General features: G+C 40.0%; 1 long non-coding RNA gene across 1 annotated transcript in view; it reads right to left on the minus strand.

Moving 5' to 3' along the window:
- Positions 1-1124: 1124 nt before the first annotated feature.
- The window catches only part of JRKL-AS1 (JRKL antisense RNA 1), a 63596-nt gene continuing 46245 nt past the window's right edge, over positions 1125-18475 (minus strand). Inside the window, exons 2-5 of the long non-coding RNA NR_047481.2 lie at positions 7776-7877; positions 5193-5306; positions 4899-5087; positions 1125-1219 (exon numbers count right to left, since the gene is read on the minus strand). This is a non-coding gene — a long non-coding RNA (JRKL antisense RNA 1). The remainder of the gene's footprint in view (positions 1220-4898; positions 5088-5192; positions 5307-7775; positions 7878-18475) is intronic.

Consider the following 18475-nt stretch of genomic DNA (forward strand, 5'->3'; position numbering starts at 1 on the left):
AGAGGAGGGATCCAGAGAAAAGGATTCCCTAACTGCATGCAAACCTGCACAAAGTCTCAGTCTAACCCATAAACTATACATGCACAGAACAGGCCCAATTCAGCATAGCTAAGGCTTTGAAAACTGAACTGAGACTGGAACTGCTTATAGAAGTCTCAGCCTAACCCCTAAATAACACATTCATAGGACAAATGTAGACCAACATAGTGATGATTTCGAGCTAAATGAAGATTAAAATCAGGGCTCACAAAAGGTGAGAAACAGTACAGTCTGAATATACCCAGGTTTTTTGCTTGCTAAAACAAAAACATTAACAATCTCAAGAGGATTAAAATAGGAGCAAGAATCTACACACACAATTTAACATTCACAATTACAATATCCAAGAGGAATACAGGAATTCATTTTACTATTCTTTAAACTTTTCTCTAAATTTGAAATTATATTTTTAAAAAAGTTACAAAAAAGAAAAAGAGTCAAAGGGAAGAAAATTTGAGGCAAAGAAAACATCCTTGAAGTGGGAAAGAGCCTGGCATGTTATAGGAACTAAGAGAAAAACAGTATGGCCGGAGTGTGTTGACAAGGTGCCAGGTGGCAAGTGATGAGGAGCAGAAAAGACAGTGGAAACTGGGGCTAGATCATGCGGGTTCTCATCGGCTATGGTAAGGAGTTTGGATTTGACTCTGATGGGAAGTCACTATAAAGTTCTGAGCAGGGATGTGACAAGATATACCTTGCAGTTAATTTCAGGGAATTATTCTAACTGGAGTTGCTTAGGCTACACATCAGCCTCTGAGTCACCCAATCACTGTATCTACAGAAAAAAGGAATAACTAGGCCTTCCCTTGGTCCTCTTATCCAGAGGATGAGGATGGGGAAAATCCCCACTGGAACCCTGTGGGACAGCCAAAACCAATAGCTGCCACTGCCCACAATTTGCTATGCCTGGGCTGCCCAGCATATCACTGTTTGTGACCCCCCTACAGCAAACCTGCATTTCCGTCTCAGTTCTAATAACATCCCAAGTAACATTACAAATGATCCCACATTCAACACCAAGAATAAGAGCAAAAGCCCCTACTTACACTCTCTCTAAATGGAGATGGCGTAGAAATAGCATTTGGTTTCTCTATTCTATTCCAAGTCCAATATCTCTGGGTGATAATTATTTCATATAGTCAGGTTTGAATGTGGCTCTTCTTGACCCTGCAACTGAAGGCTAGATGCCAAATTGAATGTTGGAAGGAAAACGGTTATTCAGCAAGTTAGATGCAGAGGCTGGCCCTCTCCCAGAGGGAAGGGCTATGCCTGAACCCAATTATCCACTGTAACAGGAACCCCTTTCCAGCAGCAGGAATGGCAGCAGCAGCAGCATCCCACCACTCAGAAATTATCAGGTGATGGCAGCTAGCATTCTCAGACGGCTCCTAGCCATGTTGGCATTTATACTCAGACAACTTGGTGTCTACATCCTTTGTATTTATACCCCATATCTGAAATTTATCATGATTGCATGTTATGACAGTGGAGAGTCAGGATCCCTCTCCTGGGGGCAGGGACCTGGGGTGTGTCCATCAGTATGCTGAACTGATTTTTAGACCTCTCTTTGTGATAATAAGACAATGCAGACTATATGCCTCTTAAATTTAATCCTTGATTTGTATGTTTTCCCAATAAATCCAGTTGCTTATAAACTTACCTATGATATTGCAGAATTTGCCCTCACTCATTTTTAACTATGATTTTTTTTTCTGTTTTATAGAAGGGAATGAATACAGTGAAGTTGCTCTCCTGCAGGTTGTATTACATTTGCTAGATAGGTATGTCAAAGATCTCTTTGCCCTAGTAGTGGTCTGATTTCCTGTATTAGGATAGACTTGATTTTTGTTCAGGTTCTGCTTGCCAGGAGTATCTTCCTGGTCTGTGATTTCCAGTGGCAATTCCCAAGAGTGGCATCAATGAGGATTCACCTTCTGAAGTGTTGAAGACCTCTATTTATTTTGTCTCCCAGCATACAGTCCTCTCCTGATCACAAAATCTCGCCTCTCTAAAGGAAACACATTCCATATATTTGAGACATAGCTACACCCCTTCTGCCTACCAAACCTCCCATTCTTCTCTTTCTTCTCCCAGCTACAGGGATGGGCACATGAACCTAAACCAGAGGGTCAGACTCCTCCTCAGAACTCCTTTTCAGGGGTTTTTGGAGAATATGTTCTCTTATGACTGCAGCTGTAAGGTTGGTGGGTTGTGAGTCTTGGGGCCCTGGAGACCCTGTGCCTGCTACGTGGAGAGAGTGAGAGAGCTTCAATGCCAGCATTTGTGCATTTCATCCAGCTGGGTCACAATTCAGTGTTTCTTATGTAATTTTCAGCTGAATGAGTTCAAAATATTCTCTTATTGCTTAAGCAGTATACTGTCATTTGTAGTCAAGAGTTGTACCTAATTACATGAGGGCTTCACTGCTTTAGCTGAATGAGGTCTGTTGGCAAGTTTATATTAGTCTAGGAATTGCTTTAGGAGCTGAGCAATCACAGGACCTTCTTGACCAGGTTTGAATTTTCTCTGGCAATTAAACTTCTTTAACATACTACCATGTTGCTGGTGGGTTTGATCTGGAGGTGCCTCATTAGCTTGTAAGAAATGTCGGAAATCTTATTATGATCACGGAATCTGGACCCTTGCCTTTGAAGTTTCTATCTCTAAGCAACAGTAGTCAGGCTTCTCCCCATAGCTCTAGGCCTGAGTTTAATACTTCTGTTTTCATCCCTGCCTTTAAAACAATGGATAGGAGGGGAGACATACATATTTCACTTAGCAAATGCATTTATATATACATTTTTAGATTTGAGAGGGTTTTTTTCCTTTTACCATTTTGAAATCCCTGTCAGTAAGAACTTTAATTAAAAACTTGAGTATATTTAATATTTTGAGTATAACCACATTGTTTTAGCTATTTGTGCTGTGAAAGCCAACATTTCAGAATTGAAATGTTTATTTATAGTTTTAAAAAGTCCTTGATTCTGACAAATTTTGTAATTAGATGGGATTTCTTTTACCTTTATGAACAATGCTGTTATATTTTTATATATCCTGTTTCCTTTGAGTTCTGAAAAGGCTTTCTAATATATTTCATTTCTGGTAATTGTATGAATGGATTTTATATATAAACATAAAAATTATTCATAATATTTAAAAATTATTTTTATTATTTTAAAAATTTAAATGGTGTAAACTGCCTTCATTAGGAAAGAAGAAAATGGAGGCAATAGTTTAAATCAGAGACATCAATTAGAGATAAACTTTTTGTGTGTGTGTGTGTGTGAGACAAAGTCTCGCTTTGTAGCCCAGGCGGAGCTTGCAGTGAGCCGAGATCACGCCACTGCACTCCAGCCTGGGCGGCAGAGCAAAACTCTGTCTCAAAAAAAAAGGGGTAAACTAAATTATTCACAAATTGTTTCTGAATTATAACATATTTACTAAAATAATTTTTCGAATTCTTTTTTTGTTGCTAGTTGATTTTGGCTAAATGTTGCAGCAAAAATTAGGTCTTAGGCTTACCATATAGTAGCAACATAAGTAAGAAAAATATAGCTTGCTTTAAGAAACTCCAATATATAAAATATAATCTTCTGATGTATGACACAAATGAAGGAAAGTGTCCAGGTAAAGGAAAGCTTCCTTTAGAAATATCAATCATCTTATTAAGTATATAGTTCTACTAGTGATTTATTTTCCAAAATGTGCTTTTAGCAATTGTATTCATTTTCTATTGATTTCTAATAAATTGCCATAGACTCAGTAGCTTAAAACAATACTCATTTTTTAGTTTACTTCTGTATACAAATTCCAGGCATGGCATTGTTGTGTTCTTTGTTCTGGTTCTCACAGGTTGAAATCAGAGTGTTGGCTGTGCTGTGTTACTTTCTAGAGGTTCTCGGGAACCTCCACTTCCAAGTTTATTCAGGTTGTTGGAAGAATTCAGTTGTTTGTGGTTGTACGACTGAGGTCCCAATTTGTCTCCTGGCTGTCAGCTGGGAACTACTCTCAGATCCTAATCCCAGCCACATTCCTTGCTACATGGCCCCTTCTATCTTCAGAGAGAGCAACGGAGAATCTTTCTCTTAATGAGCTCCCCTCATACTTTGAATCTCTTCTACTCTTGAGGTTTTCACCTGATGAAGTCAGGTCCAACTGAGGGGAATCTCTCTGTCTTAATGGCAACTAATTTGGGACCTTAATTATATATGTATAATCCTTTATAGATTAATAATCACCTAGATTAATGTTTGATCAAATAGAATAACTGGGAGAAAGTTTGTATGCACCAGGGGTGAGAATCTTGGGAGCTGTCTTAGAATGTCTTAGAATTTTGCCTATTACAGCAGCGAAATGTATCATGATTGAATTAAAAAAATTCATTTAAAAATAATAGGATTCTGAATCCAAATGAGAGGTCATTTGGAAGACCTGAAACTATTTTTTACTTATTTTTTATTTATTTATTTATTTTTTTTGAGAAATTCTCACTCTGTCACCCAGGCTGGACTGCAGTGATGTGATCTCGGCTCGCTGCAGCCTCCGCCTCCCAGGTTCAAGTGATTCTCCTGTCACAGCCTCCAGAATAGCTGGGATTACAGGTGTGCACCACCATGCCTGGCTAATTTTTGTATTTTTAGTAGAAACAGAGTTTCACCATGTTGGCTAGGCTGGTCTCGAACCCCTGACCTCAGGTGATCCACCCGCCTCAGCCTCCCAAAATGCTGGGATTACAGGTGTGAACCACCATGGCCAGCTGACTTTAAACTGTTCTAACTGGGAGTTAAAGCCCTCTGTTTCAAATTCCAATGTTGCCGAGGTCTCTCAGGCTGTCAAACCCCAACACCAAGTAATGACACTTGCCTGTGTGACTTCACTCCAACTCCTTTCCGACCAAGACACAAGCATTGCTGCCCTCTGTTTGGCAAGATGATCGCTACAATGTTAACTGTCTTGTGCAAGTTTTCTATCCTGTCAGCCTTCAGCTTGCCGGCGTGGTGTACTTTGGGTGTTTATGATAGCAAAACTTGAGAACCTGTAAGTACAACCTATAAGCACATTCTATAAGCAGAGGAGGGCCCTTATTTGTTTTTTTAACCTCACATATGGTTTTGGCTCCCCCCAGGAAAATGCCCATCATAAGGAAGCATTACCTCTGTTAGCCCCTTCTGGCTCATTGACAGGCTGTCCTCCTCACAGGCAGGAATGCAGTCCCAGTGGCCCAGCTGTACTCGGAATCGACTCTCTTTTTCTCTCCCGAGGCAAAGCTGCAAAAACACTCCTCATGTTCTGCCAGCTACTTAATCCCTTTTTCTCATTTCAAACTTCAATATACTCTTTAAAAAAGGAACCTCACCAAAACCTCCCCTAAAGCTAAGTGGCTCTGCTCCTTGGATCCCAGGGCCCCAGTGAATGTTCATAGCGTTGTCTCCAGTCATTAAGAAAGTGTTAAATCATGTGCCATACACAGTTTAAGCACACAGGGGAGTGTGTAAAACTTTCGTATTTCTAGTTAGGGGTCATTACAGTATAGAATCACTTTGTGCCCAGAGATTCATTCATTTCAGAATTAAGCTCATTAGCAGTCATTGCTTTATTATTGTGTTTCTGCCTCAGTGGTGAGTTGGGGACTGCTGCACTTAAGGGGTCAGCCTGGTTCACCCTTGCTGCACCAGCCGTAGCTATTTGTCCCTGATTCATCAGATCTCAAGTCCGCAATGTGTGCCTTAATGAAGGCTGCATGCAGAGTTCAACTTTGGCTATGCCAGATAGAATAATCCCAACTCTTTTACTTACTCGCCAAAGTCATTTAATATTTCTGTGCTTTGATTTCCTGTCTTACAAGATGCACTCTGAGTGTTACTGGTAGGTAATAACGGCTTATGCGTGTAAGATGTTATTTAAAGCACCGCAGCCTTCTCCATTGAAGGCTAAGCTTGCCGATGCACTTCTCGTCCCCTGGCTCAAGAACTGAGGCAGAGGTGGGTTAGTAGACCGGACTTCTCTTAATTTCTAAATATATCTAGTATCTAACCACTTATCCCCATCACCAGTACCCCTTCCTTTGGTCAATCAAGCTTCTGTTATCCTGAATTATTGTAATAGCTTCCTGCCTCGCCTTCTGGCTTCTTTCCCCATTACCCTGCAGTCTGTCCTATATACGGCAGCTAGGCTGATTCTTTAAAAACATGAGTCTGGTCTTTCTCACTCCTCTGCTCAGAGTCCTGCAGTGACTTCCCATTTCACTCAGTGCAAAAACAGAAGCCCTTAAAATGGCCTATAAGCCCTTCAGTACCTGGTGATCCCATTAGCTCTCTGGCTTGGCTCCTGCTCACTCAGTTCTTGCAATGCTATTCTCTTTGCTGTTCCTCAAACGTGCCAGGCCTGTTTTCACCTCAAAGTCTTTGTGCACATTGTGTCCTGTGTCTAGAATGCTCTTCCGTCAGATGTATCACCTCCTTATATCTTTGTTCAAATATCAATCTATCAAAGAGATTCACACTGTCCCTCTCCTCTCACACTCCTCATCTCCTGTACCTTTTCTTTTTCCTTAGTCCTTGTCATAATTTGTACACACTGTATATTTTACTTATTTATTACATCTATTAGTTATTTTCTGTTTCACTATGCTAAGATATAAGTTTCATATGGGCAGGGATCATTAAATATTTGTTGAATTAAAGAATGAATGGATGTTTTGCTGGGGAAGACAAAGAGAAAGAAAAATGTGGGGTCAGTTAAAAAGCTGGTATATCACAAAGAGCAATATGGAACTGTAAATAAAAGGATGAATTAAAGATGCAGAGCCCTGCAAAATGTGATTAGAATAAACAAAGAACCATCTGAGCCTGTTGGTTTTATGTTCATCTTTTCAGGCATATGTAGATATATATAAGTAGTAATCTAGTGCTCTACCCAGCACCCGATCATCCAAGTTAAATAAATATATTGTGATTGACTCATTGTTAGCTCCATAATAGTCAATATTCAGGTATGTCTATAAGGCAAACTATAATCTCACGATGCTGGCAGTTCCAGAAGGAAAAGAGACTAGGACTGAGGATTGGTCAGTCATCTGAATTATAGTTTCGATGTAAAAGGGCATCTTAGAAGGATCTTACTTGGGTTTTCAATTCCTACAAACATGGATTTGAGTTCCAATTCTATCATTTTGTAGCTATGTGGCCTTGGGTAGGGTGTTTTCCACCTCAAGCCTTCAGTTTCCCCTACTTCAAAGTGTGGAAAAGTAACATCTGCTCTAGAAATATCCTAACAATTAAAAATAATTTGGCCAAAGTCAGTGTTTAATAAATAGTAGATGTTGCAGCAATTATTGTTGTTCTTGAATGTACATGGAGGATTTATGCTTGATTTATATTAAAGATTGCATCTGCTATGGGCTGAATTGTGTCCCCCCTCCCACAAATTCATATGTTGAAGCCCTAGCCTCCAATATGACTGTATTTGGAGACAGGGCCTGTAAGGAGGTGACTGAGATTGTGTGAGGTCATAAAGCTGGGTCTCTGATCTGATGAGGCTAGTGTGATTACAAGAAGAGACACTGTTCAGGTGTGTTGGCTCACACCTGTAGTCCCAGCACTTTGGGAGGCTGAGGCAGGCAGATCACTTGAGCTCAGGAGTTCATGACAAGCCTGGGCAACATGGCAAAACCCCAACTCTACAAAAAATGCAAAAATAAGCCAGGAATGGTGGCATGCGCCTGTAGTTCTACTTACTCAGAAGGCTGAGGTGGGAGAATCGCTTGAGCCCAGGAGGTTGAGTCTACAGCGAGCTGAGATTGCGCCACTGCACTCCAGTCTGGGTGACAGAGTGTGACCCTGTATGAAAACAAGAGACACCAGAAAGCCTGCTCTTTCCCTCTGTGCCCTGTGAGGACACAGCAAAAATGGCAGCTGCCACCAAACTAAGATGAGAGCCCTCACCAGAAACCAAATGGGCCAGTACCTTGACCTTAAACTTCTCAGCTTCCAGAATTGTGAGAAATAAATTTTTGTTGTTTTAAGCTACCTACTCTAGGGTATTTTGTTAGGGCAGCCCACACTGAATAAGATAGTATCCAATAGTCTTTCACAGAGTGGAGTTTTAGGTCATCCTTCGGTTCATAGTCAGTGTTTGGGTCACACTGGGCAGATTTCAAATCCTGGATATAGGGTCTTGTCAAGCCCCGTGCATTGCAAGGAATCCTACAATTGGACTGGGATTCCAGGAAAGACTCTTGTTACAGCAGAAAATGGGACTGCTGCTCAAAATCTAAGGTGGAAGACACAGCAATGGACTGGGCATATGGTCAGCACGAAGGGAGATCAACTCACCCTCACTCAGACTCATTCTAGACACCAGATGTTAAAGGAGGGCACAGATACGTGCTACACTTTCTTCTCTGCTCACATGTTGTTGATGAGCCAGACAAAACTGAGCTTAAACAGAAAGGGCACTAGAGCCCAAAGCAGAGGGAAGAACAATGGCTTTTCATTATCTTCAGCTATGAAGTGCTTATTTCCACTAGATCTTACAGTTTTTAAAGGCAAACCTAACATCACTGCATATTAAAACTTTGGTTGTTTCATCATTATAGTTGCGTGTTTGTTATCATTTTAAAAAATTTATATACAATTAGTAGAATTGAAAGTAATTGTTTAGTTATATATAGTGGACTAAATTCTCTAAAATACTACTGAGATATTTATATAATCTCTTTTATAATTAATCTCTGGGCAATCCTATCAAATGATTGTCCTTTACTTGAGGTATGGGTTGTGATTCTCCATGTGTGGTTTTTATTTTTACTATCAGCATATTGATTGTTTAGCACTGATAAAATTTCCTGCAGCTTGAGAGATTTATTTTCCAAATTAGATATTGTTATTTCCATTTGAGTAGGTAGATACGTGAATTTACCCTAATTAGAATTGACTGTTCCAGGTTGACAAAGAGCCCTACAGGCTAAATCATTATATGCATAAGGAATAAACTTAGTTTTCTCAAGAGTCAATATTTTTCCATTTGGTTTATCACAATTCAGAATGTTCCATAAAATATTTTTCAGAAATAAAATTTTCAAAGTATAAAACACAGACATAAAAAATATATTTACTACAGTATGAAAATTCACTTAAACCCATTCTAGTCAATATCTTTTCATGTAGGAGATTTAAACTCTCCAATTATATTCAATAAAGATAGTTTAGTACAAATGCATATCAGTCATACTGCACAGCCCTGGGGAATATCAGGATGAACAAAACATAGTCCTTGGCTTTGGGAAGCTCACAGATGAGTAGCAGGGAGAGGCAGGCAAGTTTGATAACAATTATAACACAGTGTGAAGTTGGCTATGGGAGACAGGTATTCATGGGGTGCTACAGGAACAAAGCAAAATAACATTTAACTCAACATAATTGGGGGGTAGCATAGAAGTTTTCTTAAAGACACAATACTTAAGTTGACTGTTGAAAGATATATGGAAACTATCCAGGTGGGTGGGGAAAGACTGGAATATTGGTGAAGCACTGTAGGCAGAAGGAACAGCACATCAGTGTTCAAAATTCTGAAAAAAAAAACAACATGTATTTTGGGGGAACTTCATGTAGAATGACGTTTTCTGAGAGTAGAGTACTAAAGATAATGGACTGAGAGGCCAGACCAGGAATGATCTTGTGTTATATTTTAGGGATTTGGAGGAAGAGACATAATATGCTTGTAAAAAGTGGAGTGTTGTGATTATTTTCATGTCTTAGGAATTTCACTGATGAGTAATGATAGAATTCACCTATCTTTTCTCATTTAATCCTCATCATAATCTGTGTCCAGCTGAATATTTGTAACATATTGGACTTTACTAAAAGGTTGGTCATTTTATGTTATTCCCTCCTTTATCCTTCCTCTTAAATTTATCTGTATTTAATTTTCAATTATTCATGGTAGCTAATGATGACAGGATGGATGTTACACATGTTAACTTGCATGAATGTTCCTTCTCTTCATTTATTACCTGGGATTATATTGCTTAAACGGGACTATGGTCAAAAGAAATTATGTGGCTACTGAGAACTGAAATCAACAATATTCCTTGTCCCTTGCATAATACTGGGGATAGACTTTCTTCCTTGACTCTACACACTGTATATTTCACTTGTTTATTACATCTATTAGTTATTGAAACTCTATTAAATTCATATACATCTATATGAAACTGTAAACATAGGACCAGGTAAACATAATTTTGTTTCTTTCAAGAAAGGCCTTCTCAAGGAAGAAAAGACCAAGTCAATGAAACAGTTTACTTATGAGGACTAAAAGTTTATTCATTTACCAAAATTTGCTTCAAGACCCCTGCCTCACTGTGCTTACCACTCCAAAGCTATTGAAACAAAACAAAACAAAACAAAATACAAAACAAAATAACCTCTGCCCAATCTCAGCCAGTTTTCCAATTGCAAGATTCACCTGAAAAACACTCAACCAAGACCCTAAAACTCTGTAAATACCCTGCCCTAATTTTCTATTTTGAGACATTATTAAAGATCTCTCAAGGTGATGTTCTCCTTTACTGCAGTAAGTCTAACAAATGTAGCTTGCCTTGGTCCTAGATTTTTCTAGTGTTTTTAATGAGGAGAACTGATAGTCAATGATCTTCTGCTGTAAACTAGGGTTGACTGTCTACTGTTCAGAATATATAGTAGTCCCCTTTACGGCAGTTTCACTTTCTGAGATTTCAGTTACCCATGGTCAACTGAGGTCTGAAAATGGCTGAGTATATTATAGTAAGACATTGAGAGAGAGAGGGGCTTAGGGTCAGGTTGAGAGAGAGAGCACATTTACATAACTTTTATAACAGTATATTTTTAAAATTGTTGTATTTTATTATTAGTTATTTTTGATAATCTCTTACTATGCCTAATTTATGAATTAAACACTATCATAGTATGCATGTATAGGACAAAAGTGTGTATATATATATAGGGTTTGGCACTATTTGTGGTTTCAGGCATCCACTGGGCATCTTGGAATATATCCTCCATGGGTAAGCAGGGACTGCTGTAATTTTGTCTGTGGTATTCTGATGAAGTTACTGCAGCCACATTTCCCCTAAGACAGTATTTGGAGATTGATGAGAAATGCTGTATAGGTAAGAGCACAAATTAACTAAGTCATTTACTTTTCACAGACAAAATTTTATCAAATAATTTTGGGTAAGAGCTGTTGGCAGAATCAAAATTTTGAGTGATGGGGGAGGTGTTATCCATCTGTTTAGGTGGAGACTTCATCCCATGAACTGTGCTAAGTGCTACTATATTTCTGGACAAAAGCAGAATAAATTTTTTGCTTAAGGTTGGTCAATACTTCTTTATGGTTCCTCATTGCTCTCATTATAAATTCCAATTTATATCTTCCAATGTCCTTTATATAATCTTACCTCTGCTTACGACTACATTTATTTTATGCATTCTCCTCCTCACACTCTTCTATACACACACAGATTCATTTTGCAAACACACTAAGTACTTGATTGTCTCTGTGCTTTGCACATGGTTTTCCCTCTGCTTGGATCAAGTTCTACACATTTAATAAGTTAAGCCCTACATTTCTTTCCTTTCTCAGTCCAGTTACTACTGCTGGGGATTGTTTTGTGAACCCATAAAATTATACTAAGTTCCCCTCTTGCTTAATCTCATAGCGTTCTGTGATTTTGTTACATTCTATTATAATTAGAGTTTATCTGTGTATTTCTTGCCCAGGCTCCCCACTCCAGATGGTAAGCTTCTTAATGGAGATACTATGTGTTATTTTTTTCTACATGTTCCCCACCCAGCATACTGCCTGCATAGTAGATGTTTCATAAATATTTATTGAGTAAATAAATAAATACTTGACCTGCTGCTTTCAATGACCTTCTTTCATTCTCTAGTAACTCTGTTGCACTGGTCTCAGGACCTTCTCCTGTTGTACACTATACCTGACATGAAACATGAAAATTGATTGCACACTCTATTAGTCTGTTCTCTTGCTACTAATAAAGGCATACCAGAGACTGAGTAATTTATAAAGGAAAGAGATTTAAGTGGCTCACAGTTCAGTTTGTCTGGGGATGCCTCACAATCATGGTGGAAGGCAAATGAGGAGCAAAGTTGTATCTTACATGGCAGCAGGCAGAAGAGAGCTTATGTAGGAGAACTCCCCTTTTTTAAAACCATAAGATTTCATGAGACTTATTCACTATTATGGGAACAGCATGGAAAAGACTCACCCCCATGATTTAATTACCTCCCACCAGGTCCCTGGCACATGGGAATTATGACACATGGGAATTATGGGAGCTACAATTCGAGATGAGATTTGGGTGGTGACACTGCCAAACCATATCACACATGTTGATTTTGCTATAGTGAAGCACAATTTTTCTAAAAAATTGGTATTGTGTACTAGAGGGATACTTGCATTCTGGCTGGTCACAGGATTTGAACTAGGAGCTAAATAGCAAATTAAAACAAAATTCAACTTTTATGTTAGATTCAAGAGGTACATGTGAAGGTTTTTTACATGGATATATTGTGTGATGCTGAGGTTTAGCATATGATTAATCTCATCACCCAGGTAGTGAGCATGGGAATTAATAGTTTTTCAACCCTTGCCTCCCTGCCTCCCCTTGTCATAGTCCCCAGTGTTTATTGTTCCCATCATTATGTCCACATGTACTCCACTGGAGACAGTGGAGGGAATTGCTACTTATAAGTGAGAACATGTGGTATTTGGTTTTCTGTTCCTGCATGTATTCTCTTAGGGTATTGGCTCAGCTGCTTCTGTGTTGCTGCAAAGGACATGATTTTGTTCTTTTTTATGGCTTCATAGTATTCCATGATGTATATGTACCACATTTTCTTTATCCAATCCACCCTTGATAGACACCTAGGTTGATTCCACGTCTTTGTAAATAGCAAATTTTAAAGCTTCAAGCATTGCCACATATTTAATGTGCCCTTCCTCATTTAATTCTTGTACTCTTGTTGTATACATTTCACTTTTACACATTGAAATCTCTTCCTCTTAAATATGCAAGCTTCTATTTTCTTTTCACACATGAAAATAATCTTTAAGGTACAACTTGTTCCAGCAGCTTTGCATCTGTACGCAAGTTCCCTTGGTCTCGTGCCCTCTGCCCACTGCCTCATTGCCCTTCCCCTCTCCACTCAAAGGTTTACTTTCCATTATAATTATTGTGGTTGCCTGAATTTCTCCAAGCCATCAGTGCCATTGAGACATGTCCCTCTGTGCTTCTAGAGCATTAAAAAATTTATATTAGAACCTAACCCAAAAGTGTGAGGGAAGCAGAACAGACTGGGCTATATGGGCCAGGATCAATACCTAAGCTGCAAATTATTTCAGGATGACTGGATATATCAGTACTATGATGATGATGAAGAACTGCAAATAGTGAGGTTGGAGGAATATCAAGAAGTCTACCACCTCAATATCTTGTCCACTTGCTGTCAACTGTTTCTAGTGATCACCATTCAAAGACCATTCTGTACTTTAAAATGTCTTCCAAAACATATAAATAGCATGGAAATAAACACACTTTCTCATTTATGGTGCCCCGTATCACTCTGCTAGAATTAACTTTATAAAGGTGAAAGTCAGTTGATATAGTTTGGGTATTTGTCCCCATCCAAATCTCATATGGAAATGTAATTCCCAGTGTTGGAGGTAGGGCCTGGTGGGAGGTATTTGGGTCCTGGAGGTGGATTCCTCATGGCTTGGTGTTATCCTCATGATAGTGAGTGAGTTCTCATGAGATCTGGTTGTTATAAAGTGTGGCAGATCTTCCACCCTACTCTCTTTCTTGCTTCTGCTTCCGCCATGTAAGATGCCTGCTCCCTCTTCACCTTATAAGCCAAAAACAAAATTCTAAGCCCCCTCAATCAACTGAATAGACCCTTCCTCTGAGCCAAGAGCATTCCAAAGTTAACCTGAAACATGAGTTCAGGCCAAGATGGGAATAGGTGGCTGGACATGCCTCATTATGGCCTCCTTCCTTTGGAATTCAGGCACAACTGACTGGCATTAACATTAAAACAGAGACCTTAAGACAATCTGTATTCTCTGAAGCCTGCTACCTGGTGGATTCATCTGCATAATAAAAACCCTGGTCTCTGCAACCCCTTATCTTAACCCAGACACTCCCTTCTATTGATTCTAGGTCTTTAGGTATATTCTTTCAACCAACTGCCAATTAGAAAATCTTCAAATCCACCTGTGACCTAGAAGTCCCCCAGTTTGAGTTTTCCTGCCTTTCTAGACCAAAGCAATGCATATCTTACATGTATTGAATGATGACTTATGTCTCCCTAAAGTATATAAAACCAAGCTGTAACCCAACCACCTTGGGCACATATTCTCAAGGGCCTCCTGAGGCTATGTCATAGGCATGTTCTTAACCTTGCAAAATAAACTTCTAAATTGGTTGAGACCTGTCTCAGATACTTTTGGTTTACAGCCTTCTGCCATGATTGTGGGCTTCCTGAGGCCTCCCCAGAAGCAGATGCTGGAGCTGTGCTTCCTGTACAGCCTGCAGAACCATGAGCCATTTAAACTGCTTTTCTTATAAATTACCCAGTCTCTGGTATTTCTGTATAGCAATGCAAGAATTGCCCAATACAGAAAATTGGTACCAAGAAGTGGGCATTGCTATAAAGATACCTGAAAATGTTAAAGCAACTTTGGAACTGGGTAATAGGAAGAGATGTGAAGTGTTTAGAGGACTCAGAAAAGGACAGGAATACGAGGCAAAGTTTGGAATTTCCTGGTTAAATGGTTGTGACCAAAATGCTGATATGGACAGCAAAAGCCAAGCTGGGGTTTCAGATGGAAATGAGGAGCTTACTGGGAGCTAGTGCAAAGGTCAATGATGTTTTTATGCCTTAGCGAAGAACTTGGCTGCATTGTGTCCATGCCCTAGGGATCTGTGGAAGTTTGAACTAAAGAGCAATGATTTAGGGTAGCTGGTGATAGAAATTTCTAAGAAGCAAAGCATTCAAGAGGTGCTTCTAACAACCTGCGGCTGCTTCTAACAACTTATGCTTAGATGTGGCAAAAATGACTTAAAGTTGGAATTTACATTTAAAGGTGAAGCAGAGTGTAAAAGTTTTAAAAAATTGTAGCCTGGCCATGTGGTATAAAAGCAAAGCTCATTTTCAGATGAAGAATCCAAATGGGTTGTGGATTTCTCCCTTTTAGAATGGGGATGTTTACCCAATGCCTATACCCCTCATTGCCTCTTGGAAGTAAATCACTTGATTTGATTTTACAGGTTCATAGGTGGAAGGAACTCATTTTCAGATGAGACTTTGGACTTGGGACTTTTGGGTGATGCTGAAACAAGTTGAGACATTTGAGGGGCTATAGGGAAGGCATAATTGTATTTTGCAACCTAAGAAGAATGTGAGATTTGTGGAGGCCCAGGGCAGAATGACATAGTTTGGATATTTGTCCCCACCCAAACCTCATGTTGAAATGTAATCCCAAATGTTGGAGGTGGGGCCTGGTGGGAGATGTTTGGGTCATGGGAACCGATCCCTCATGGCTTGGTGCTGTCCTCGTGATAGTGAATTCGTTCTCATGATATTTGGTTGTTGTAAAGTGTGGCATCTCCCCAACCCCACCCCACTCTCTCTCTTGCCCCTGCTTTCGCCATGTGAGGGCCTGCTCTCTCTTCGTCTTCCACCATGATCGTAAGCCTAATTAGGCCTCCACAGAAGCAGATGCTGCATTATGCTGCCTGTACAGCCTGCAGAGCCATGAGCCAATTAAACCTCTTCTCTTACAAATTACCCAGTCTCAGGTATTTCTTCATAGCAACGCAAGAATGACCTTATACAGGAGTCTAACTGTCACATCCAGCTTTGAGGAACTAAGCCACGAGTAGGCTTCTGGAGAGGAGACAGGCATTCAAAAACAAATTTCAGATACTTTGTTGCAAGTGTACCCCAATTTATAATTGCTTCTGGTCCTACTCCTCAGATTATCAGGACCTCAGAGCTCTCTTAGAGGTTCTTTTCTCTCTTCTAGTGTTTGTAGGAAATTCTTCAGAAGTTTCTCTATCAGTTCTATCATTCCTTTGTCTCCTAGGTTGCCTGGCTTTGAAAGCCTGATCTCTAGGCTGTCTAAGGCTATAGCTCATGTTTCTGCTAATTGCTTCCTGCAGTCTTGGGGTCTCTCCCTTATGCCGTATTTATGCTCTTATCACTATGATAGACTGTGGTATGGGGGAGGTGAAGGATGAGAGAGAGAGAGAGATAAATCCTTAGTTCTTTATAGCAAAACTAAGGCAAGGATTTAAAGCCATTTCACAAGGCTTTGGAGATAGTTGTGGGATAAGTGGAGGGAATTGCAACCCAGAGAGAGAGCAACTTATAGTTGCTAAAATGTGGCTACTGTCAGAAGCCACAGACCCAGTTCCATCCTTGTGGTTGGCAAACATTAGCAAACATTACAAATGACCACCAATATCTGGTTCTCTTCTCCTTTTGAGCACTCAGAAGAATAGACTTATTAGCCACCTTGAAACTGGGTAGTGCCATGAGATTAGTTCTGGCCAATGTGAAAGGAAGCAGAGCCATCCCAAAGCGTGAGGTGCCCTGGACCTATTTTGCTCTATATAAACAATTTGATCTAAAAATGTATATATAATTCATGGGCTCATGTAAGTTATAGTTATTTATCAGCGAAGATTTAGAATAGCAATTAGAGAAGAGGTACTTAGGTACCTGATTGCTGGTCAAGTCAGAGCAAGTGAAGATTTTTTTGTAGTGTTCAGGCACCATCTCTTTGGATTCAAGTTGGGGAACTATCTTTTGCCTTCTTTATTAGCAAATGCACCACTTTTGGCTAATTTTATATTTCCTACTGGGGAGAAAAAGGTAATAATATTATTACTTACAATGCCATGGTCCATTGGAAGCTGTTTGTATTGAAACAATGTAGATCTTCATGCCTCTTCAGTTTTCTAATTCCATGGGTTCAATGCTGGTTACAGCATCACTCCTGATGCTGCATTATCCATCCCACCAACCCTGAATAATGGCTTTGAATGATTCTCTCAAAAGTTGTTACTGTGCTTCTTTGATGATAACCACACATGCAAGTCTAACCCAGTGTATGAAGGAAAGAGTGAATGATAATTCAATTTTGGTTATGTTAAATGTACTGTTCTGATTTTTGTAGTCTAAATGAATTATAGCACATCTTCCAACCACGTTTCTCTTAAACTCCTTAGGCTATAATCACTTCATTCTTAGAATACTATTGCTTTCATTGTTGACTATATCCCTGAATTCCACACACCGACACTGGCAGGAAAGGTAGAGTGAGAAGTGCAGTACCATTCACATAAGGGGTGTTTAGTCCCTAATGTGACATGGCTTAAGACAGACCTGGTAGAATATGATATCAGCACAATTGGAAGCAAGAAAAGACATCAACTGGGAGACCCTATTGACTTTGAGCAGCAATGATCTAAAAATCCATTGAAGGAGAATGGCAATCTCCACCTTTCTTCAAGACTTTCTCTCTCATGTGATGCAGAGCCTTCAAAAAGGGTGACATGATTGCACTGCATGACAGCAGTGGGAGGTACACAGAATAAAAAATGCCTTCTGTCACCCTTGGATGCTGTAGACCGGAGATGTTGTGAATTGAACACAGATGGGTAAGAGCTGACACAGGGGTAGACACAGGGCTTAAACCCAAGAGATGGTGGGGGACAGATGGTAGCTCAGAACACAGAGCTTGTCTTGTGTCCAATGTGAGTGAGAATCACCCAAAATAGCATGTTGTTACCATTCTGGCAGTCAGTCTTGTATAATTCCATAAACGAAATATCACACTGCTTGTTGGGAGTAATCTCCTTTAGGCTATCCCCCCGAGCCCCAGAACCAGAGTCAGACATGTGGTGCCAGGATGACCCTCTAGGTGCAAGTCCCAGAGCTTCCTAGAGCTCTGGGACTCTGGTTAACTCTATGTATGGGATAGAGGGTCAGAGTGCATATTAAAGGGTAAAAATGGGGGTGAGAGCTCATGTAGGTCCTGGTCTTGGCTTGGGGTGCTCTTCCTGTGTTACACTGCCAGGCCTAGCTAAGTCCCAGGCACTGGTACGGCCCTCTAAATTCCAGATCCCCCTGAGGTGTGGGGCCCAGGTTAAAGAGCAGTACTTTCTGGAAGTGACATGTGTCACTTCCAGCCTGAAGTATAGAAAAGCCCATGTGGTTTTCCGTTTTCTGGCTGCAGCCATAAGAGTGCTGCCTATTCCAGATGGTAAGGCTGCTAACTGTGGAGTCTCAGTCAGCCTGAGATCCTGAGTGACTGTGTGGAGCAGAGCCTCTTGCTCACCCACAAGGGACATGTAACCTGAGCCAGAAAT

Source organism: Homo sapiens, chromosome 11 (assembly GCF_000001405.40).
Source record: "Homo sapiens chromosome 11, GRCh38.p14 Primary Assembly".
Lineage (NCBI taxonomy): Eukaryota > Metazoa > Chordata > Mammalia > Primates > Hominidae > Homo > Homo sapiens.